We start from the raw sequence: 22099 nt of genomic DNA, 5'->3' as shown, positions 1-22099 counted from the left end.
CTCCAGTAGCCAGGATTACAGGCGTGCATCACCACACCCAGCTAATTTTTGTATTTTTAGTAGAGATGGGGTTTCACCATGTTGGCCAGGCTGGTCTCGAACTCCCAGCCTCAAGTGATCTGCCCGCCTCAGCTTCCCAAAGTGCTGGGATTACAGGTGTGAGCCACTGCACTGGGCCATCACTTAATATTTTTATTAAAAAATATATGAATTCTGGCCAAGTGCAGTGGCTCACACCTGTAATCCCAGCACTTTAGGAGGCCAAGGCGGGTGGACCACCTGAGGTCAGGAGTTTGAGACCAGCCTGGCCAACATGGCGAAACTGTCTCTACCAAAAATACAAAAATTAGCCTGGCATGGCGGTGCACCCCTGTAGTCCCAGCTACTCAGGAGGCTGAGGCAGGAGAATCTGTTGAACCTGGGAGGCAGCGACTGTAGTGAGCCAAGATCGTGCCATTACACTCCAGCCTAGGCAACAGAGTGAGACTCTGTCTTGAAAAAAAAAAAAAAAAAAAAAAAAAAAAATTTGTAAATTCTACTAAGTGTAAAGGTGTAACAAATTTCATGTAATAAAGTCAATAAACTTTCATTATTCAGAATTTTTTGGATGTGAGAATTGAAGATGAAGGACTGGGGACCTGAATTAGTAGTAATGTGATCCCATTTGTTAGAAAGGAAGGAACTAACATATGCATAAAAATATTTTTCTGGAAGCTTTTACAAAAAATTTTCAATGATTATCTCTGAGAAGTAGAAATGTAAGAAAAGAGGGCTACTTTTCACTTAAACTTCTACCAGTTTTTTGAAGATTTTATCATGAGATATATTACTTTGTAACTACAATTTCGAAACAAAAACAGTAAAACTAAGTTTGTAAACTATTTCTCAATTCCTTACACATTTTACCAACCTATGTAACTTTTTTATAGCTAACTCATTTCCTATAAGTTCACTGGCAGTCTGAGGTTGATACTTTTCTGTCCAAAGCATGTCTTCAGTTCCAGAATCTAAAGCAAAAAAAAAAAAAATTAAGGTATTCATTCCTTGACATAAACATATATGAATTATTAGTCATTTACATTATTGTTACAATGTCACAGTAGGTATTTGCAGAAATATTTATATTTACAAAATGCCAGAGGTACTTTTAAAACAACATTACATTTAAAATTCTTCACACCAAACCCTTCCCCCTAAAAAAAAATAACCACCATAATCTTATTAAAATATTAAAGTGTTAGCCAGGCGCGGTGGTTCACGCCTGTAATCCCAGCACTTTGGGAGGCTGAGGTGGGCGGATCACGAGGTCAGGAGATCGATACCATCCTGGCTAACACGGTGAAACCCCGTCTCTACTAAAAGTACAAAAAATTAGCCGGGCGTGGTGGCGGGGGCCTGTAGTCCCAGCTACTCGGGAGGCTGAGGCAGGAGAATGGTGTGAACCCGGGAGGCGGAGCTTGCAATGAGCGGAGATCGCGCCACTGCACTCTAGCCTGGGCGACAGAGCGAGACTCCGTCTCAAAAAAAAAAAAAAAAATTAAAGTGCACACTTAAACATTGGTTTTTTTTTTTTTAGGATTACCATCTGGCCCAGCAATCACATTACTGGGTATATACCCAAAGGAAAATAAACTGTTCTACCAAAAAGACACATGTACTCACATGTTTATATTTAGAACAGCAAAGAGACTGAACCTGGGAGACGGAGGTTGCAGTGAGCCAGGATTGTGCCACTGCACTCCAGCCTGAGCAACAGAGTGACAGTCCATCTCAAAAAAAAAAAAAGCAAAAATGGAATCAACCTAAGTGCCCAAAAATGGTGGATTGGATAAAGAATTTGTAGGACATATATACACCATGGGATAGTATGCAGCCATAAAAAAGAAAAAAATCATATCCTTTGCAGCAACATGGTTGCAGCTGGAGGCTATTATCCTAAGTGAATAAATGCAGAAACAGAAAACCAAATAATGCATGTTCTCCTTTATAAGCTGAACCTAAACACTGGGTACACATGGACATAAAGATGGGAACAAAAGACACTGGAGGCCACATGTGGTGGCTCACACTTATAATCCCAGCACTTTGGAAGGCCAAGGCAGGTAGATCACTTGAACCCAAGAGATCGGGATTGGCCTGGGCAACATAGTGTGACCCTGTCTCTTAACAACAACAAAAAAGACACTGGGGACTACAAAAGGGAGGAGGGAAGAAGTGAGGACAAGGGTTGAAAAACTATCTATTGGGCAGTATGTTCACTATTTGGGTGACAGGTTCAATTGAAGTCCAAATCTCAGCATCATGGAATGTATCCATGTAACAAACCTGCATATGTGCCCCTTGAGTTGAAAATTAAAAATAAATAGTTTTTTTCTTTTTTTAAGAGATGAGGTCTTGCTATGCTGCCCAGGCTGGACTGCAGTGGCTATTCACAAGCACAAACACAGCTCCCTGCATTCCTGAACTTCCAGACTCAAGCTCCCACCTCAGCCTCCTGAGTAGGTGGGACTACAGATGTGAGCCACCACAAACAGCAATATTTAAATTTTTAATAACCACTGAAGAAACATGAATGATGAGAAATAATTTGTGGCATAAAACCAATAATCGGGATGGGTGCAGTGGCTCATGCCTGTAATCCCAGCACTTTGGGAGGCCGAGGCGGGCAGATCACTTGAGATCAGGAGTTCGAGACCAGCCTGGCCAACATGGTGAAACCCCATCTCTACTAAAAATACAAAAAGTAGGCCGGGCTCGGTGGTTCACATCTGTAATCCCAGCACTTTGGGAGGCCGAGGTGGGAGGATCACTTGAGGTCAGGAGTTCGAGACCAGCCTGGCCAACACGGTGAAACCCCGTCACTACTAAAAATATAAAAATTAGCCAGGCGTGGTGGCACACGCCTGTAGTCCCAGCTACTAAAGAGGCTGAGGCAGGAGAATAGCTTGAACCTGGGAGGTGGAGGTTGCAGTGAGCCGAGATTGTGCCACTACACTCCAACCTGGGTGACAGAGCGAGACTTTGTCTCAAAAAAAAAAAAAAAAAAGCCGGACGCGGTGGCTCACGCCTGTAATCCCAGCATTTTCGGAGGCTGAGGAGGGTGGATCACAAGGTCAGGAGATCAAGACCATCCTGGCTAACACGGTGAAACCCCATCTCTACTAAAAATACAAAAAATTAGCCAGGCGTGGCAGCATGTACCTGTAGTCCCAGCTACTCAGGAAGCTGAGGCAGGAGGATGGTACGAACCCAGGAGGCGGAGCTTGCAGTGAGCCGAGATCGCGCCACTGCACTCCAGCATGGGCAACAGAGTGAGACTCTGTCTCAAAAAAAAAAAAAATACATAAAGTAGCCGAGCATGGTGGTGGGCTCCTGTAATCCCAGCTACTCAGGAGGCTGAGGCAGAAGAATCGCTTGAACTCAGGAGGTGGAGGCTGCAGTGAGTCCAGATCATGCTACCACAGTCCAGCCTGGGCATTTTGACTATGACCAGAGGTTAGATGTGGAATTTTCTTTTTTTCTTGAGACAGGGTCTTGCTCTGTTACCCAGCCTGGAGTAGTGGTGCAATCATGGCTCACTGCAGCCTTAACCTCAAGTGATCCTCTCACATCAGCCTCCTGTGGAGCTGAGACTACAGGCATGTGCCACCATGCCTAGCCAATTTTTTTTTCTTTTTTTTTTGGTAAAGGTGTGGTCTCCCTGTGTTGCTCAGCCTGGCCTCAAACTCCTAGGCTCAAGCAATGCTCCCACCTCGGCCTCTCAAAGTGCTGGGATTATAGGGATGAGCCATGGTGCCTGGCCCCAGGTATGGAATTTTCCACTTAGGGCACCATGTCAGCACTCAAAATGTTTTGGATTTTGGAGCATTTCAAATTTCAGATTTTTGGATTAGGGATATTCATCCTGTATAAAGCTATATAAATGAATAAATCAATAGCATACTTTGGAAAAGCTATATATACTGAATGGGGCTGGGCACGGTGGCTCATGCCTGTAATCCCAGCACTTTGGGAGGCCAAGGCGGGTGGATAACCTGAGGTTGGGAGTTCAAAACCAGCCTGACCAACATGGAGAAACCCAGTCTCTACTAAAAATACAGAATTAGCCGGGCGTGGTGGCACATGCCTATAATCCCAGTTACTCGGGAGGCTGAGGCAGGAGAATCGCTTGAATCCGGGAGGCAGAGGTTGCAACAATGAGCCAAGATCATGCCATGGCACTGCAGCCTAAGCAAAAAGAGCAAAACTGTCTCAAAAAAAGTAAATAAATAAACTGAATGAGAACATGTCAGAGATATGTAAAACATGGTGTAAAATAGTATGTATGGGATAAGACCATATTTTTTTTTCAACTTTGTTACCTTTTTTTTTGCCCCCTAGACGGAGTCTTGCTCTGTCTCCTGGGCTGGAGTGCAGTGGCGAGATCTTGGCTCACTGCAGCCTCCGCCTCCCAGGTTCAAGCGATTCTCCTGCCTCGGCCTCCCAAGTAGCTGGGATTACAGGCACGCACCACCACACCTGGTTAATTTTTGTATTTTTAGTAGAGACAGGGTTTTGCCATGTTGGCAGGCTGGTCTCAAACTCCTGACTGCAGGTGATCCACCCACCTCGGCCTCCCAAAGTGCTGGGATTACAGTTATGAGCCACTATGCCCGGACACTGTGTTACTTTTTTTTTTACTTTTTAATTTTAAAATTGTCATCCCTTCACTTGAGGTCAGTTTGAGGCCAGCCTGGCCAACATGGCGAAACCCCATCTCTACTAAAAATACCAAAAAAAAAAAAAAAATTGTCATCTTTGCACAAGGGGCCATGCTAATTTTCTCTGTATCATTCCAATTTTAGTATATGTGCTGCCAAAGCGAGCACAATACCAGATTTTTTTTAAAGCACATATATTGGCCGGGTGCAGTGGCTCATGCCTGTAATCCCAGCACTTTGGGAGGCCAAAGTGGGCAGATCATTTGAGGTCAGGAGTTCAAGACCTGCCCGGACCACACAGTGAAACCCTGTCTCTACTGAAAATACAAAATTTAGCTGGGCGTGGTGGCGTGCGCCTGTAGTCCCAGCTACTGAGGAGGCTGAGGCAGGAGAATCACTTGAACCCGGGAGGCAGAGGTTGCAGTGAGCTGAGATCAGGCAAGCGACGGAGAGAGATGCTGTCTCAAAAAATAAAAAATAAAAAAATAAAAGCACATGTATTTATGGAAGCACAGAAAAATCAAAGACTGAACACCTATCTGTTAATATGGTCATTTGTAAGCCCATAATCCGTGAGGTTCTATTTATTTCAAACACATATTTATTGTTTGAAAGTTGCAATGAGCAAAAGAAAAAAAAAAGAGAGAGAAGGAGAAAGAATGAAAAGTTAAAAAACAAAAAGAGTTCTAGGACTAGAAGGAAAAACTCGAATTTACCAGGAATGGAAGATGTTAATATTTCTGGTGCAGACTGTCATCATCTATTAGAATATCAAAATCTGCACTTTGGGAGGCCAAGGGCGGGGAGGGGGGTGGGGGGTGGATCACCTGAGGTCAGGAGTTTGAGACCAGCCTGGCCAACATGGTAAAACTCTGTCTCTACTAAAAATATAAAAATTACCTGGGCGTGGCCAGGCACGGTGGCTCACACCTGTAATCCCAGCACTTTGGGAGGCCGAGGTGGGTGAATAATGCGGTCAGGAGTTCGAGACCAGCCTGGCCAATTCCGTCTCTACTAAAAATACAAAAAGTTAGCTGGGCATGATGGTGGGCTCCAGCCCGGGCGACCGTGCAAGACTCCATCTCAAAAAAAAAAAAAAATTATCTGGGCGTGCAGGTGGGTGCCTGTAATCCCAGCTACCCGGGAGGCTGAAGCAGGAGAATCACCTGAACCCAGGAGGTGGAGGGACGTTGCAGTGAGCGAAGATCGTGCCATTGCACTCCAGCCTGGGTGACAAGAGAGAAACTGTGTCTCAAAAAAGAAAAAGAAAATCTAAAATTAAAATACAATTGAATTAAAATTTTTTAAAAAGCATATCAAAATCTTCTACTGCTTTGGTTTCCACTTTGCATGTCCTCAAAGCAATCTATTTCTTTTGGGATGTTTTAGAAAATATACCTTTGGAAGAATCTAGCTTTATCCCAGAAGAGTTGTTTCTTTTGCTAAGTTCTTCTGACTTCCTATTGGTCTTCTCCAGATTTTTTGAATACTCATTTGGTTTCTTTCTTTTTGACTTAGAATTTTCTGCTTCTACGAGTTTCCTTTTGGTTTCTTTATGGCTGACATCAGCCTCCAGTTCTGCTTTGGGAATTAAAGAAGTGCATGTGCTTACTAATCAACAAAAACCAGTAATATTAATATCACTTCCAAGTATCCAATAGTCTTGTAACTTTAAAATGCAAAGGCAATCCAGGTGCAGTGGCTCAGGCCTCTAATCCCAGAACTTTGGGAGGTTGAGGTGAGCGGATTGCTTGAGTCTACGCGTTTAAGACCAGCCTCGGTAACATGGGGAAACTCCATCTCTACTAAAGATACAAAAATCAGCCAGGGGTGGTGGCATGCACCTGTAGTCCCAGCTACTTGGGAGGCTGAGGTGGGAGGATCACATGAACCCGGGAGATCGAGGCTGCAGGGAGCCATGAAAACACCACTGTACTCTAGCCTGGGCGACAAAGTGAGACCCTGTCTCTTAAAAAATAAATAAATAGGCCAGGCGCGGTGGCTCACACCTGTAATCCCAGCACTTTGGGAGGCCAAGGTGGGTGGATCACCTGAGGTCAGGAGTTCAAGACCAGCCTGGCCAACATGTTGAAACCCCATCTCTACTAAAAATACAAAAATTAGCCAGGCATGGTGGCGTGTGCCTGTAATCTCAGCTACCTAGGAGGCAGAAGCAGGAGAATCGGTGGAACCTAGAAGGCTGAGGCTGCAGTGAGCCGAGATCACACCACTGCCTGGGCGGCAGAGCAAGACGCCGTCTCAAAAAATAAAAATAAATAAACAAACAAACAAACTGTATTCTAGCCTGGGCAACAAAGTGAGACCGTGTCTCTTAAAAAATAAATAAATAGGCCAGGTATGGTGGCTCATGCCTATAATCCCAGCAATTTGGGAGGCTGAGGCGAGTGAATCACTTGAGGTCAGGAGGTCGAGACCAGCCTGACCAACATGGTGAAACCCCATCTCTACTAAAAAATACAAAAATTAGAAAGGCATGGTGGCAGGTGCCTGCAATCTCAGCTACTAGGCAGGCTGAGACACCAGAATCACTCAAATCTGGGAGGCAGAGGTTGCACTGAGCTGAGATCGCGCCACTGCACTTCAGCCTGGGTGTCAGAGCAAGACTCTGTCTCAAAAAATAAATAAAATAAAATAAAATAAAAAGGCAAGAATCAAATATAACATACTGAAAGCAAGCTGGAGATTTTAATACTTAGACTGTCTTTTATACAAGCTATATAAGCTAAAATTATCTAAGGCATTCCTTAAGTACATAATATTTTAACATAATTAAAGCTATCTTTGAGTTGGCATTTTTGGAAACTGGCGGGGATTAATGTTGCACATTGCATTGTACAAGATACTTTTACTTCAGCTGAACAATTCTCCCTGCCAAGTGTAAGCAATGTTGTCTGTGGTGAACACTTCCAAGTGTCATTGGTTAAGTCTTAGTGTTTTTCAAAACTGACACGTTAGGCTGGGCGTGGTGACTCATGCCTGTAATCCCAGCACTTTGGGAAGCTAAGGCGAAAGGATCACTTGAGCCCAGGAGTTCAAGACCAGCCTGGGCAACATGGCAAGACCTGGTCTCTACCAAAAATACAAAAACTAGCCAGTCTCATAACCCAGTCTCAAGAGAATAAGTAAAAATTAAAAAATAAAATAAGCTAGGTGCAGTGGCGCAAGCCTGTGGTCCCAGCTACTCAGGAGGCTGAGACACAGGAATCACTTGAGCCCGGGAGGCGAAGGTTGCAGTGAGGCAAAGTTGCACCACTGCATTCCAGCCTGGGTGACAGAGCAACACTCTAAAAAAAAAGAAAAAATAGGCCAAGCGCAGTGGCTCATGCCTGTAATCCCAGCATTTTGGGGGGCTGAGGTAGATGGATCACCTGAGATCAAGAGTTCAAGACGAGCCTGGCCAACATGGTGAAACCCCATCTCTACTAAAAATACAAAAATTAGCAGGGCGTCATGGTGGGTGCCTGTAATCCCAGCTACTCAGGAGGCTGAGGCAGGAGAATCACTTGAACCCAGGAAGCAGAGGTTGCAGTGAGCCAGGTTTGTGCCACTGCACTCCAGCCAGGGCGACAAGAGCAAAACTCCGTCTCAGAAATAAAAATAAAATAATAAATAATATAAAAACCCAAAACTGGTATGTTAACATAAATGATAATAATTATCACTAACCTTGTTTACTATGACACTCGGAAGAAAGTACTTGGTGCTCAATTTGTTTTTTTAGGAGTAAGGGAAAATATTTTTTCAATGAAAATTCAGGATTTGACCACCTAATTTCCTCAAGCAAAAGATTTCTTACTTCTTCAGTAAATTCCTTCCTTGTCCTCATGAACTGCAATAAAGAATAAAATGCACAATAACAGACCAACATCATCTATTCATGTTAATTACAATACTACCAACCACTTTCTGTCCATCATAAATCAGTATCAACGTAAGATTAGCTTTAGGCCGGGCGTGGTGGCTCACGCCTATATTCCCAGCACTTTGGGAGGCCAAGAGACAGGTGGATCATCTGAAGTTAGGAGTTTGAGACCAGCCTAGCCAACATGGCAAAACCCCGTGTCTACTAAAAATACAAAAATTTGCTGGGCATGGTGGCGTGTGCCTGTAATTCCAGCTACTAGGGGGAGCTGAGGCAGGAGGATCGCTTGAACCCGGGAGGCAGAGGTTGCAGTGAGCCGAGATCGTGCCACTGTACTCCAGCCTGGGCAACAGGGTGAGACTCCAACTCAAAAAAAAAAAAAAAATAGCTTTAGTCACTAAATATAAAGCTTATGAAGAATTAATTTATTTTTCTCCCTTTGAACTAATTATATCTATTAGATTATATGACCTACTTATAAAGTATCTAAATGTGCTATGTAATCTAACATTCTTTGAGAACTGGCAATCATTAATTCTTAAAATGTTTTTAAAGCTCTATGGGTATTTAAAAGAAATGTGTACTACAATTAGGATTTATTTTTAAATATTAGGCTGGGTACAGTGGCTTACGCCTGTAACCCCAGCACTTTGTGAGGCCGAGGCGGGGGAATCACCTGAAGTAGGGAGTTCAAGACCAGCCTGACCAACATGGAGAAATTCCGTCTCTACTAAAAATACAAAAATTAGCCGGGCATGGTGGTGTGTGCCTGTAGTCCCAGCTACTCGGGAGGCTGAGGCAGAATTGCTTGAACTCGGGAAGCAGAGGTTGCAGTGAGCCAAGATTGCACCACTGCACTCCAGCCTGGGCAACAGAGGGAGACTCTGTCTCAAAAAAAAAAAAAATTAAACTCTAGGACAACACTCGAGGCTATAAGAGTAGATATCCAAAAATGTTTTTCCTCTGCAAGATGTAAGGGAAACACTCTACAATGGATGAACTATTTAATACTTACCACAGCAGCAGAGTTACCGCTTTTCAACTTTGAATTCAATGTTGAAAATTCACCAAGAGCAATACCACATTTTGAGAGATCTATTACTTTAGTGTTCAGTTCTTTAAATTTAGTTAAGAGAGGACAAGAGGGTGGTTTCAAATGCCACAAACAACACCCTAAAGAAAAATAGACAAATATCTTAATAAACCTTATTTATACACTATCCATTTACTGAATGTCAAATACGTAAACATGAAAAGTTGACAACTACATAATTAACACAAACATACCAAAAACCACATGACTATAAAGGGAACAAAATCCTACCCTCCAACAAATAGAATTAATAAAAATCACCTAGACTTCCCTTCCAGTTGTTTAAAACAAACAAATATTAACAAACTTTCCTTTCTTTTCAAATCAACCTTGATACTCAGGTTAAAACTTTTAGGAGGGCCAGGCGTGGTGGCTCACGCCTGTAATTCCAGCACTTTGGGAGGCCAAGGCAGGTGGATCACTTGAGGTCAGGAGTTCGAGACCAGCAATCCCAGCTACTCAGGAGGCTGAGGCAAGAGAATTGCTTGAACCCAGGAGACAGAGGTTGCAGTGAGCTGAGATCTCATCACTGCACTCCAGCCTGGGCAACAAAGCAAGACTCTGTCAAAACAAACAAACAAACAAACAAAAACCTTTTAAGAGGCAGTTAGCAACCTGGTCTAAAGTCTAAACTTTCAAGTTAGACCTGGATTCAAACCCAACCTCTGCCACTTACTAACCTTGTGAGCACTGGCGAGATCCTAAATCTTAGTTTCTTCATCCTTACATTCAAAGTGAGGGTGATAATTATAATACTCAACCTCTTAGAGTTGTTATCAGGATTAAACTAGATATGTATATGAATTGCTCAGCAGAATTCCAGACAATAGTAAGCGTTCAATAATTCTGAAGGTTGTAAGAGAGAGAGGTTCCCTCTGTGCTTGCCTCTCTGCTCATCTACAAATAGATATGCTAAGTTTTATGGCAGCACTCCTGTGAAAATGAGTTTATCAAAATGAGTCAAGAAAAGCATAACTAATTTCTACAGTTGAACATACTATTGGAAAATGCTATATAAAGCTGTACTAGTAAAAATAACAAGAAAGCCTTCATCAACTGAATGGCCAGTGGCAGAGATGGGAAATAAGAAAAAGTAGAATAAATTACTGAAAAGACTAGCTGGGAAATTCCCACGTACAGAAGAAAGGCTAAACTTTTTTTTTTTTTTCTTTTTTTGAGACAGGGTCTCGCTCTGTCACCTAGGCTGGAATGCAGTGGCATGATCATGGCTCACTGCAGCCTTGACCTCCTAGGCTCAAGTGATCCTCCCACCTCAGCCTCCCGAGTAGCTGGGACTACAGGCATACACCGTCATGCCCAGCAAATTTTAATTAATTAATTAATTAAGTTAGTTAGCTAGTTTAGAGACAGGATCTTGCTGTGTTGCCCAGGCTGGTCTCGAACTCCTGGGCTCAAGCTCTTCTCCTGCATTGTCCTCTCAAAGTTCTGGGATTACAGGCATGAGACACCACACCCAGCCTACACCATTTTATACAAGAAACTTGAGCATCCATGAGTGCTAGTATCCACAAGGGGGTCCTGGAATCAAACCCCATGGATAGTGAGAGAAATTGTCCTTAAAATTCCCACTAAAGTCACCATAAGAATGATAATTAAACTTCAGCCTCATCTTTAAGAAACTTACATAGTTTAATGTTCCTGCTAACAGCTGAAGAGTAAATATTCAATAATAAAAAACAAACTTACCATCATCCTTTTGTTGCACATGTACGACTCTCTGGAAACTGGTACTCACTGCATTGTACACATCCAGCGCAGCAGCTTTCTTTGCAATTTGCCGTTTCAACAAATCTGGCAAACCACTCATTAGGAAGTCACGCTTTGCTTTACATTGAACATCACAATCCTGAGATTTTTCAGATGTATCTTGACTTTTAAGAAAATGATTTGAAAAAGAAAAGCTAAGGTTATAAACATTTAAAGGAATAAACTATCTGGAAAATAAACATTTTTAGGGCTGGGCATGGTGGCTCATGCCTGTAATATAAGTACTTTGAGAGGCAGAGGTGGGCGGATCACTTAAGGCAAGGATTTCCAGACCAGCCTGGTCAACGTGGTGAAACCCCATCTCTACTAAAAATACAAAAATTAGCCAGGTGTGGTGGCAAATGCCTGTAATCCAAGCTACTTGGGTGGCTGAGGCACGAGAATCACTTGAGCCTGGAAAGCAGAGGTTGCAGTGAGTCAGGATCGCGCCACTGTACTCTATCTAGCCTTCCAGTCTGGGCAACAGAGTGAGACTGTCTCAAAAAATAACAAAAAACAAAACAAAACAAAACAAAACAAAAACCAGAAAAGAGAAGAAACACCTTTAAATTTAATTTTTAAAAATTAAATAAATTGGCAGGGCATGGTGGCTCACGCCTGTAATCCCAGCACTTTGGGAGGCCGAGGAGGGTGGATCACCTGAGGTCAGGAGTTTGAGACCAGCCTGGCCAACATGACGAAACGCCATCTCTACTAAAAATACAAAAATTAGCCGGGCATGGTGGCGGGTGCCTGTAATCCCACCTACTCAGGATGCTGAGGCAGGAGAATGGCTTAAACCCAGGGGGCAGAGGTTACAGGGAGCCGAGATCATGCCACTTCACTCCAGCCTGGGTGAAAGAGGGAGACTCCATCTCAAAAAAAAAAAAAAAAAAAATTTAAATTAATTTAATAAAATGTATTAAATAAATTCAATAAATTAGTATTTTAGGTAATAAATTTACCTAAATATAAAATATATATTAGGTAATTAATATAAAATGCTTAAATATTAGCTTTATCTATAAAATATAATTATATAATTTATATATAATTATATAAAAATTTTGTTTTAGATTTTATATAAGATATTGACAAATATTAATTTTTAAAATTTATTTAATACATTTAGGTAATAAAATTACCTAAAATATTAGCTGATCAAATTCTTTTTTGCTCATCACAAAAATGAAAGTCTACCCATGTTAAGAAATTAAATAAAAATAAATATGTATAGAAAAAAGTGACTTAAAGGACATCCACCAAAATGTTAACAGGGGCTATCTTTGGGTGGTAGGTGAGTTTTTTCCCTCTTGTCTTTTGTTTTCTTGCTAAACAATCAGAAAAAAAAAAAATCACTGTCATATTTCAAAAAGTTAATACAAGAACTTCTGATGTAATATTGTTCCCAATGTAACAGGAGGAAGAGTAGGGTCCTTATTATTGTCTCAGTTTTGCCCAGTTTATCTTCAGATTGCAAATCATAGGGAGGCTGACTACAGTGGCAGGAGTGGGACAGAGGCAAAAGGGTGGGGAGAATGGGAGGTTGGAGTAGTGGAAGATGGTGTGTCACAGCTTATATGTCCTTCCTAGCCTGCCTGTAGAAAGAACAAGACTCACAATATTCTGTGCAATTAGATATTTGGGCTGGTAATTCAAAAGAGACTACAAAAACTTTTTCTGTATTTCTGTTTTCTTTTCCTCTTTGAGTGAAATGAAGGGAAAATAAGCTATGAAGCCAGATAGATACTAAATGAGATATCTCTTTTCTTTTTTAGAAAAGAAGAAGTGTATTTTTTTTAACTGTTAATTGGCGGGAAGGAGGAAGATGGGTAAAGTTGTAGTTAAATTAGTATGTCTCTATAGCAGAAGGTAGGTGTTAAGGAGAGGGGTACAAGGTACTAATAAAAAATATACATATTATATATAATGTATCATATATTACATATATATTACATGCATATACATATATTACACACATATAAATAGTTTTAAATGTTTGTGTGTACACATATACATACATATATAGCTGGTATGGTTTGGATGTGTGTCCCCTCCAAATTTCATATTGAAATACAGGCCAGGCGCAGTGGCTCATGCCTGTAATCCCAGCACTTTGGGAGGCTGAGATGGACAGATCACCTGAGGTCAGGAGTTCAAGACCAGCCAGGCCAACATGGCGAAACCCCATCTCTACTAAAAATACAAAAATTAGCTGGCTGTGGTGGCAGGCGCCTGTAATCCCAGCTACTCGGGAGGCTGAGGCAGGGAGAATTGCTTTAACCTAGGAGGCGGAAGTTGCAGTGAGTCGAGATCATGCCATTGCACTCCAGCCTGGTCAAGAGAGGGAGATTCTGTCTCAAAAAAAAAAAAAAAGAAAGAAATATAACCTCCAATGTTGGAGGCAGGCCTAGGTGTTTGGGGTCATGGGGGCAGATCCCTCATGAACGGATTGGTGCTGTCCTCACAGTAATGAGTAACTTCTCCATCTATTAGTTCACCCGAGAGATGGTTGTTTAAAAGAGGCTGGTACCTCCTCCTCTCTCTTGCCACTTCTCTCGCCATGTGACAGGCCTGCTCTCCCTTCACCTTCTGCCATGAGTTGAAGATTACTGAGGCCTCACTAACAGCCAAGCCGATGCTGTACAACCATGCTTGTACAATCTACAGAGCTGTGAGCCAAATAAACCTCTTTTTCTCTATAAATTACCGAGTCTTAGGTATTCGTTTATGGGAATGCAAAACAGACAAACACAGTATCCTAACTTTATCTACTGAAAAGGCCTAGAAGCACTGCCACATCAGGAGCAATGAATTTAATGCTAGACCTTCGTCTCTAAATACCATCCTCCACGAAAAGGAACCAGGGGTCCACAGAGAAATGGCTAACTGCAGAGCTGAGACAAGGCAAGTAAAATAGAAGCCTAGAATATCTTCCTGTTCCAGAAATTAAGAAATGCTCCATAAATTATGAGGACATGTCAAAGGGACATAGAAACCAAGCTGAAGAGCTCACACTGGCCAAATTAAAAACAATTTGAGCATCAAAATAACTAATATGAATGGATTACAATCCACTGAATATAATAAAAATGAAGAAATAAGTGAATAAATAGATAAACTGAGGAGACAAAAAAGCTCTTATAGCAGCCAACTAACAAAGAAAGAATGACTGCAATAGAGAATTGCCATTTGGAAACCATCATCATGTGGTTAATTCCATTGGAATTCGTCAATATTAAGGCCCATAATTGCAGGTTTGATGAGAAACAAGATTTTGGCATTTGGCCAGGTGGGTGGCTCACATTTGTAACCCCAGCCAGGAGTTCAAGACCAGCCTGGGCAAAATAGTAAGATCTAGTCTCTATTTTTAAAAAAGCAAAAGAGGCCAGGCAAGATAGCTCATGCCTGTAATCCCAGCACTTTAGAAGGCTGAGGCGAGCAGATAACTTGAGACCAGGAGTTTGAGACAGCCTGGCCAACACGGCAAAACCCCGTCTCTACTAAGAGTACAAAAATTAGCCAGGTGTGGTGGTGCATACCTGTAATCCCAGCTACTTGGGAGGCTAAGGCACGATAATCACTTGAACCCGGGAGGCGGAGGATGCAGTGAGCCAAGATAGTGCCATTGCACTCCAAAGCAGTCCTCCTGTCTTGACCCTTGACCTCCTGCTCTCAAGCAATCTGCCCAACTCGGCCTCCCAGAGTGTTGGGATTACAGGTGTGAGCCACTATGCCTGGCCTACCCTTAGGATTTTTTTTTTTTTTTTTTGAGACAGAGTCTTGCTCTGTTGCCCAGGCTGGAGTGCAGTGGCGGGATCTCGGCTCACTGTAAGCTCCACCTCCCAGGTTCACGCCATTCTCCTGCCTCAGCCTCCCAAGTAGCTGGGACTACAGGCGCCCGCCACCACGCCTGGCTAATTTTTTGTATTTTTAGTAGAGATGGGGTTTCACCATGTTAGCCAGGATGGTCTTGATCTGCTGACCTCGTGATCCACACGCCTTGGCCTCCCAAAGTGCTGGGATTATAGATGTGAGCCACCGCACCCAGCTCAGAATTTTTAAATATATATTTTTAGAGACCGGCACGGTGGCTCACGCCTATAATCCCAGCACTTTGGGAGGCCGAGGCAGGTGGATTACCTGAGGTCAGGAGTTCAAGACCAGCCTGGCCAACATGGTGAAACCCCATCTCTACTAAAAATACAAAAAAAAATTAGCGGGGTGTGGTGGCACACCCCTGTAATCCCAGCTACTCGGGATGCTGAGGCAGGAGAATTGCTTGAGCCTGGGAGGCAGAGGTTGCAGTGAGTCGAGATCGTGCCACTGCACTCCAGCCTGGCTGACAGAGCAAGACTCTATCTCAAAAAAAAAAAAAAAAAAAAAAAAAAAAAAAAATATATATATATATATATATATATATATATATATATAAAAATATATAAATATAAATAATAATTTCTTTAAAATAATGATTTTTTAATATATGATTTGCAAATAAGGATAGTTTTACTTCTCCCCTTCCAAACCTTTATGTCCTTTTATATATTCTTCTTTCCTAATTGAACTATCCAGGACCTCTAGTAAGAGATGTCTTAGAGCTTGGAGGATATTACGTTAAGTGAAATAAGCTGAACACAGAAAGATAAATACCCCATGTTCTCACTCTTATGTGGAGACTAAAAAAGTTAACCTTAGCCTGGGTAACACAGCAACAACTTGTCTCTACCAAAAAAACAATTAGCTGGACATGGTGGTGCACATCTGTGGTTCCAGCTATTTGAGGGGCTGAGATGGCAGGATCACTTGAACCCAGGAGGTTGAGGCTGCAGTGAGCTGTGAGCACACCACTGCACTCCAGCCTGGGCAACAGAGCAAGTTGCTGCCTTTAAAAAAAAAAAAAAAAGAAGTCTCATAGAAGTAGAGAGTAGAATAGTGGTTAATAGAGGTGGGAGAGGGGAGGGGAGAGGGAGACATAGCCAGAGGTTGGTTAACAGATATAAAAGTATAGCTAGATAGGAGGAATAACTTCTAGTGTTCTACAGTACTATATGGTCACCATAATAAACAAAAATTTATTATATATTTTCAAATTTTGAAGAAGAGCAAAAAAAAAATTTTTTTTTAGCGACCGCATCTTGCTCTGTTACCCAAGCTGGAGTGCAGTGGCATGATTACAGCTCACTGCAGCCATGACCTCCCAGGCTCATGTGATCCTCCTGTCTCAGACTCCCAAGTAGCTGGGCCTATAGGCATACACCACCATGCCTGGCTAGTTGTTTACTTTTTTAAAGAGATGGAGTCCCACAGTGGTGCCCAGGCTGGTATTTTTCTGTTCTTATACCAATACAACACACTTCTATTACTGTAGGTTTGTTCAATGTCTTGAAATCAGGTAGTGTAGAGGCCTTCAAATTTTTCTTCTTTTTCAAGATTATCTTGTCTATTCTAGGTTCTTTGTGTCTTTTAAATGTTAGGTTTGTCAAACCCATAAACTGGACGTCATCAAACTTCTGTACTTCAAAAGACACAACAAATAAAAAGGCAAGGTAATATATTTGCAAAACATGTATCTGACAGAGGACATGTAGTCAGAATATATAAAGAATCCTCACAACTCAACAAGAAGAAAGACAAGTCAGTAAGAAAAGGGGCAAAAGATTTCCCTAAGGAAGACATACAAAAGGCCAATAATCACAAGATGTTCACCATCAGTAGACATGAGAAAAATGAAAATTAAAACTATGAGATATGACTACATAGCCATTCAAATATATAAAATTAAAAAGAGAAATGAAGATGTATATCCACACAAAGACTTATACATGAATGTTCATAGCAGCTTTATTCCCAATAGCTTCAAATTGCAAACAGCTGGGTGCAGCGGTGCACGTTTGAGTCCCAGCTGCTCAGGAGACTGAGGAAGGAAGATTGCTTGAGCCCAGGAGTTCAAGGCCAGGCTGAGAAACACAGCAAGACTCCATCTCTTATAGTGGAGGGAAAAGACAAAAGGAAACAATCCAGATGTCCATTAATAGGTGTATGGAGAGACAAAAAGTGGTATATCCATACAATGAATACTACTGAGCAAAAATATAGCCAGGCACGGTGGCTCACACCTGTAATCCTAGCACTTTGGGAGGCCGAGGCAGGCAGATCACTGGAGGTCAGGAATTCGAAATCAGTCTGGCCAACATGGTGAAACCCTGCCTCTACAAAAAATACAAAAATTAGCCGAGCATGGTGGCGTAGGCCTGTCGTCCCAGCTACTCAGGAGGCTGATGCACAAGAATCACTTGAACCCGGAAGGCGGAGACTGCAGTGAGCCAAGATCATGCCACTGTACTCCAGTCTGGGCGACAGAGCGAGACTCTGTCTCAAAACAAAAAAAGAAAAGAAAAAGAAAACTAATGATATATTTGACAACATGAATAAATCTCAAAATCATCATGCCACCTACAAGAAGCCAGACACAAAAGAGCATATACTATATGATTTCATTAATATAAAATTCTAGAAAATATAAATTAGTATAAAGAAAAGAGACTAGCGTTTGCCTGGGTTGGGGCCACTTAGAGAACAGACTACAAAAGAGCATGACAAGTCTGAGGCAGGCAATGGAAATAACTTGGTATCTTGATTATGGTGGTTTCACTGGGTGTACAACTGACAAAGCTCACCAAAATACACACTTTGAATTGATAGAATTGACCTTGCCTTGTGGCTCACGCCTGTAATCCCAACACTTTGGGAGGCCAAGGTGGGTAGATCACCTGAGTCCAAGAGTTTGAGACCAGCCTGGGCAACATGGCAAAACCCTGTCTCTACCAAAGAAAAAAAAATACAAAAAATTAGTGGGGCATGGTGGCACATGCCTGTAGTCCCAGCTACTTGGGAGGCTGAGGTGGGAGGGACGATCACCTGACCCTTGGAGGTCACGGCTACAGTAAGCTGTAATTGCGCCACTATACTCCAGTCTGGGGATGACAGAGTGAGACTCCGTCTCAAAAAAAAAAAAGCCTGATAATGCCAAGTGTTATCAAAGATAGGCAGCTACCAGAACGCTTATACATTGCTGGTGGGAGTGTAAAACCGAACAACAACTTGGGACAACAGTTTGCCAGGTTCTTATAATGTTAAACATGTACCTCCCTAATGACAGAGCAATTCCACTTCTAGGTATTTATTTACCCAAGAAAAATGAGAACACTTGTCCATACATGTGTATAAGAATGTTCATAGCAGTCAGGCGGAGCGCGGTGGCTCGCGCTTGTAATCCCAGCACTTTGGGAGGCCGAGGTGGGTGGATCATGAGGTCAGGAGATCGAGACCATCCTGGCTAACATGGTGAAACCCCATCTCTACTAAAAATACAAAAAAATTAGCCAGGCGTGGTGACAGGCGCCTGCAGTCCCAGCTACTCGGGAGGCTGAGGCAGGAGAATGGCATAAACCCGGGGGGCGGAGGTTACAGTGAGCCTAGACTGTGCCACTGCACTCCAGCCTGGGCGACAGAGTGAGACTCTGTCTCAAAAAAAAAAAAAAAAAAAATGTTCATAGCAGTCTATTTAATAATAGCCAAATACTGAAAATAACCCAAATGCCCATTAATAAAGAATAAATAAAAAATATTGCAGTAGGCCAGGCACAGTGGCTCATGCCTGTAATCTCAGCACTTTGGGAGGCCGAGGCAGGCGGATCACGAGGTCAGGAGTTCAAGACCAGCCTGGCCAACATAGTGAAACCCCGTTTCTACTAAAAATACAAAAAATTAGCCAGGCGTGGTGGCGGATGCCTGTAATCCCAGCTACTCGGGAGTCTGAGGCAGGAGAATCGCTTGAACCCAGGAAGCGGAGGTTACAGTGAGCGGACATCGCGCCACTGCACTCCAGCCTGGGCGACAGTGCAAGACTCCATCTCTCTCTCTCTCTCTCTCTCTCTATATATATATAGCGGCATATTCATATGAGTACTACTTAACTACGAAAAAGAACAGACAACTGATATGCTACCTTGCCAAAGAAACTAGAGACAAAAGTATACCTACTGCAGGATTTCATTTATATGAGAGTCTAGAAAAGGCAAACTAGTCTATACCAACAGAAAGCAGATAAGAGATTGCATGGGATTGGGCAGAAATTAACTGCAATGAGGCACAAGAAGACTTTTTTTTGAGAGTGATGAAAATGTTCTATATTTTTATTGTGGTGGTAATTACAGGTATGTACATTTGTCAAAACTCAAACTGTGGGCCAGGCACGGTGGCTCATACCTGTAATCCCAGCACTATGGGAGGCTGAGGGGGCCAGATCACCTGAGGTCAGGAGTTAGAGACCAGCCCGACCAACATGGAAAAACCCCATCTCTACTAAAATACAAAATTAGCCAGGCGTGGTGGCACATGCCTGTAATCCCAGCTACTCGGGAAGCTGAGGCAGAAGAATCACTTGAACCTGGGAGGTGGAGGTTGCGGTGAGCTGATATCACACCATCGCACTCCAGCCTGGGCAACAAGAGCGAAACTCCGTCTCAAAAAAAAAAAAAAAAGAGAGAAAAATTCAAACTGTTGGCTGGACACGGTGGCTCACGCCTATAATCCCAGCACTTTGGGAGGCCAAGGCAGGCGGATCACAAGGTCAAGAGATCGAGACAATCCTGGCCAACATGGTGAAACCCCATCTCTACTAAAAATACAAAAATTAGCTGGGCATGGTGGTGCGTGCCTGTAGTCCCAGCTACTCAGGAGGCTAAGACAGGAGAATCGCTTGAACCCGGGAGGCAGAGGTTGCAGTGAGCCGAGATCACGCCACTGCACTCCAGCCTAGTGACAGAGTGAGACTCCGTCTAAAAAAAAAAAAGAAAAAAAAAAAAACCTCAAACTCTTTACTTAAAATGGGCACATATTATTATATGGACAATATAACTGAATGAAGTTGATTTAAAAATATGTATGTGTGCATTTGTTTGTGGGCGTGTATACTATGCAAAAGCAGCCAGACACAAAATAATATATATATGAAGTTTATGTGATGTTCTAGAATAGACACAATTAATCTATGGTAATAGAAATCAAACTAATTGATGGAAATAGAAATCGAATATTTTGGTAATCTTGTGGTGATGGTGGTGGTGGGGATAATAGGAAAGAGCACACAAAACCTTTCTGAGCTAAAAAGAAGATTGTTATTTCTTGATAAGATGCACTTGTCAAAACTGCATACTTAAGATATGTGTGCTTAACAATATATAATTACACCTCAGTAAAACTTGAACAGAAAAAAAGATAATCTAAACCCATGTTGCTCCTAGACCTGACCTTCCATCATGCCACCCAGGCGCATAAACTAGAACTTACATGTCATCCTATACCTTCCTCTCCCACACTCTCACTCCCACAAATCTCATTAATCATCGAGGGATTTTTAATTCATCTCCTAAAATCTTTTCATATGTCATTCCCAACAACCTAGTCCTTACCTCCATCATCTCACAATACCTGGACTCCTACATCTACTCTAACCCCTCTTCCATTCCATTCTTTATCCAGCAGGCCAATTAAACTTCTAAAATCCAAATCTGTTTAGGTCTATATTTATGTTTAAAACCCTTTGGCTGCTTCTTATTTGCTCTTAATATAATGATAAAATCCCTTAACATGGCCTCCTAGGTCCTACATTGGCTGGCACCCACCTCTCACCCTTGTTCTCTGTGCTCTAGTCACACTAGCATTCTATCAGTTTTTGGTATTTAGCAAGTTCCTTCCAGCTACAGAGACTTTACATAGACAGTTCTCTCTGGCTGAAACACAGTTCCTCCTCCTGATGAACTCCTGCTCATCCCTCAGATTTCAGTTCAGACATCATTTCCTCATTGAAGTCTTCTTTAATCAGACCAACCCTCCTCAATATGAATTATACCTCTCCTTAGCACAACTGCAATTTTTCATTTGTTGACCCAATGAATGTTTAATCATAGACCATCTTCCATCTCCACTTAAGCCACAGGAGGACAGGGAATGTGTCCTGTCTTATCCCCATAATATCTCTGATACCAAAAACAGTACCTGGTACATACTAGTAGGTATTTAAATATTTACTGAATAAAATTCATTATCAGCTTTTTTGTATTTTTGGTTTGCTTATTTTTCTGTTTTGTCTAGCGATGGCCAAAGCACTTGCAAAAAACCAAGATATTCAAATAGCAGTTGCAGCACTGTCAATATTGTCAACTTTGAAACTGGACTTACTAGAGCTTCAAATGATAATTCACATGCTTTCTCATCAAAGTAAACACATCAATACAAATACATTCTATAAAATATTTTGGCATTTAAAAATTTGTATTGGACTGACCTGCTTTCATCAAAACTAGGGACAGGATCAGCTGCTTTTTGTGCTTTTCTGACAAGAAATAAAGGAGCGACTTTCATTTTTCCTTAGAAAAATAAATACTTGGGTTAGTATCAATGTTTACCATCTCCACCTTCAGCTACTTTCTTTTTTTTTTTTTTTTTTTTTTTTTGAGATGGAGTCTCACTCTGTAGCCCAAGCTGGAGTGCAGTGCCACGATCTTGGCTCACTGCAACCTCCACCTCCAGGGCTCAAGTGATTCTCATGCCTCAGCCTCCCGAGTAGCTGGAACTACGGGTACCTACCAC

General features: G+C 42.1%; 1 protein-coding gene and 1 pseudogene across 11 annotated transcripts in view; both read right to left on the bottom strand.

The window, feature by feature from the left end:
- ATAD5 (ATPase family AAA domain containing 5) overlaps positions 1 to 22099 on the bottom strand; it is a 63904-nt gene that overhangs the window by 29159 nt on the left and 12646 nt on the right. For 5 of the 11 annotated variants that reach the window (XR_001752632.3, XM_011525269.4, XM_011525270.4 and 2 more), the window contains exons 6-11: positions 21795 to 21876; positions 11384 to 11568; positions 9599 to 9756; positions 8388 to 8550; positions 6099 to 6281; positions 911 to 1007 (exon numbers count right to left, since the gene is read on the bottom strand). Coding sequence is in view for 9 of the 11 variants with exons in the window: in XM_011525269.4 (XP_011523571.1) it covers positions 911 to 1007; positions 6099 to 6281; positions 8388 to 8550; positions 9599 to 9756; positions 11384 to 11568; positions 21795 to 21876 (868 nt within the window). In the remaining 2 variants the exon portion in view is untranslated. The remainder of the gene's footprint in view (positions 1 to 910; positions 1008 to 6098; positions 6282 to 8387; positions 8551 to 9598; positions 9757 to 11383; positions 11569 to 21794; positions 21877 to 22099) is intronic. The other 6 variants (XR_007065465.1, NM_024857.5, XM_047436781.1 and 3 more) reach the window with 3 other exon arrangements.
- Positions 4773 to 4868, bottom strand: RNU6-298P (RNA, U6 small nuclear 298, pseudogene; annotated as a pseudogene).

This window comes from Homo sapiens, chromosome 17, assembly GCF_000001405.40.
Source record: "Homo sapiens chromosome 17, GRCh38.p14 Primary Assembly".
Taxonomy (NCBI): domain Eukaryota; kingdom Metazoa; phylum Chordata; class Mammalia; order Primates; family Hominidae; genus Homo; species Homo sapiens.
Note: the sequence above shows the minus strand (reverse complement) of the source record. Positions and strands in the feature narration are given on the sequence as shown.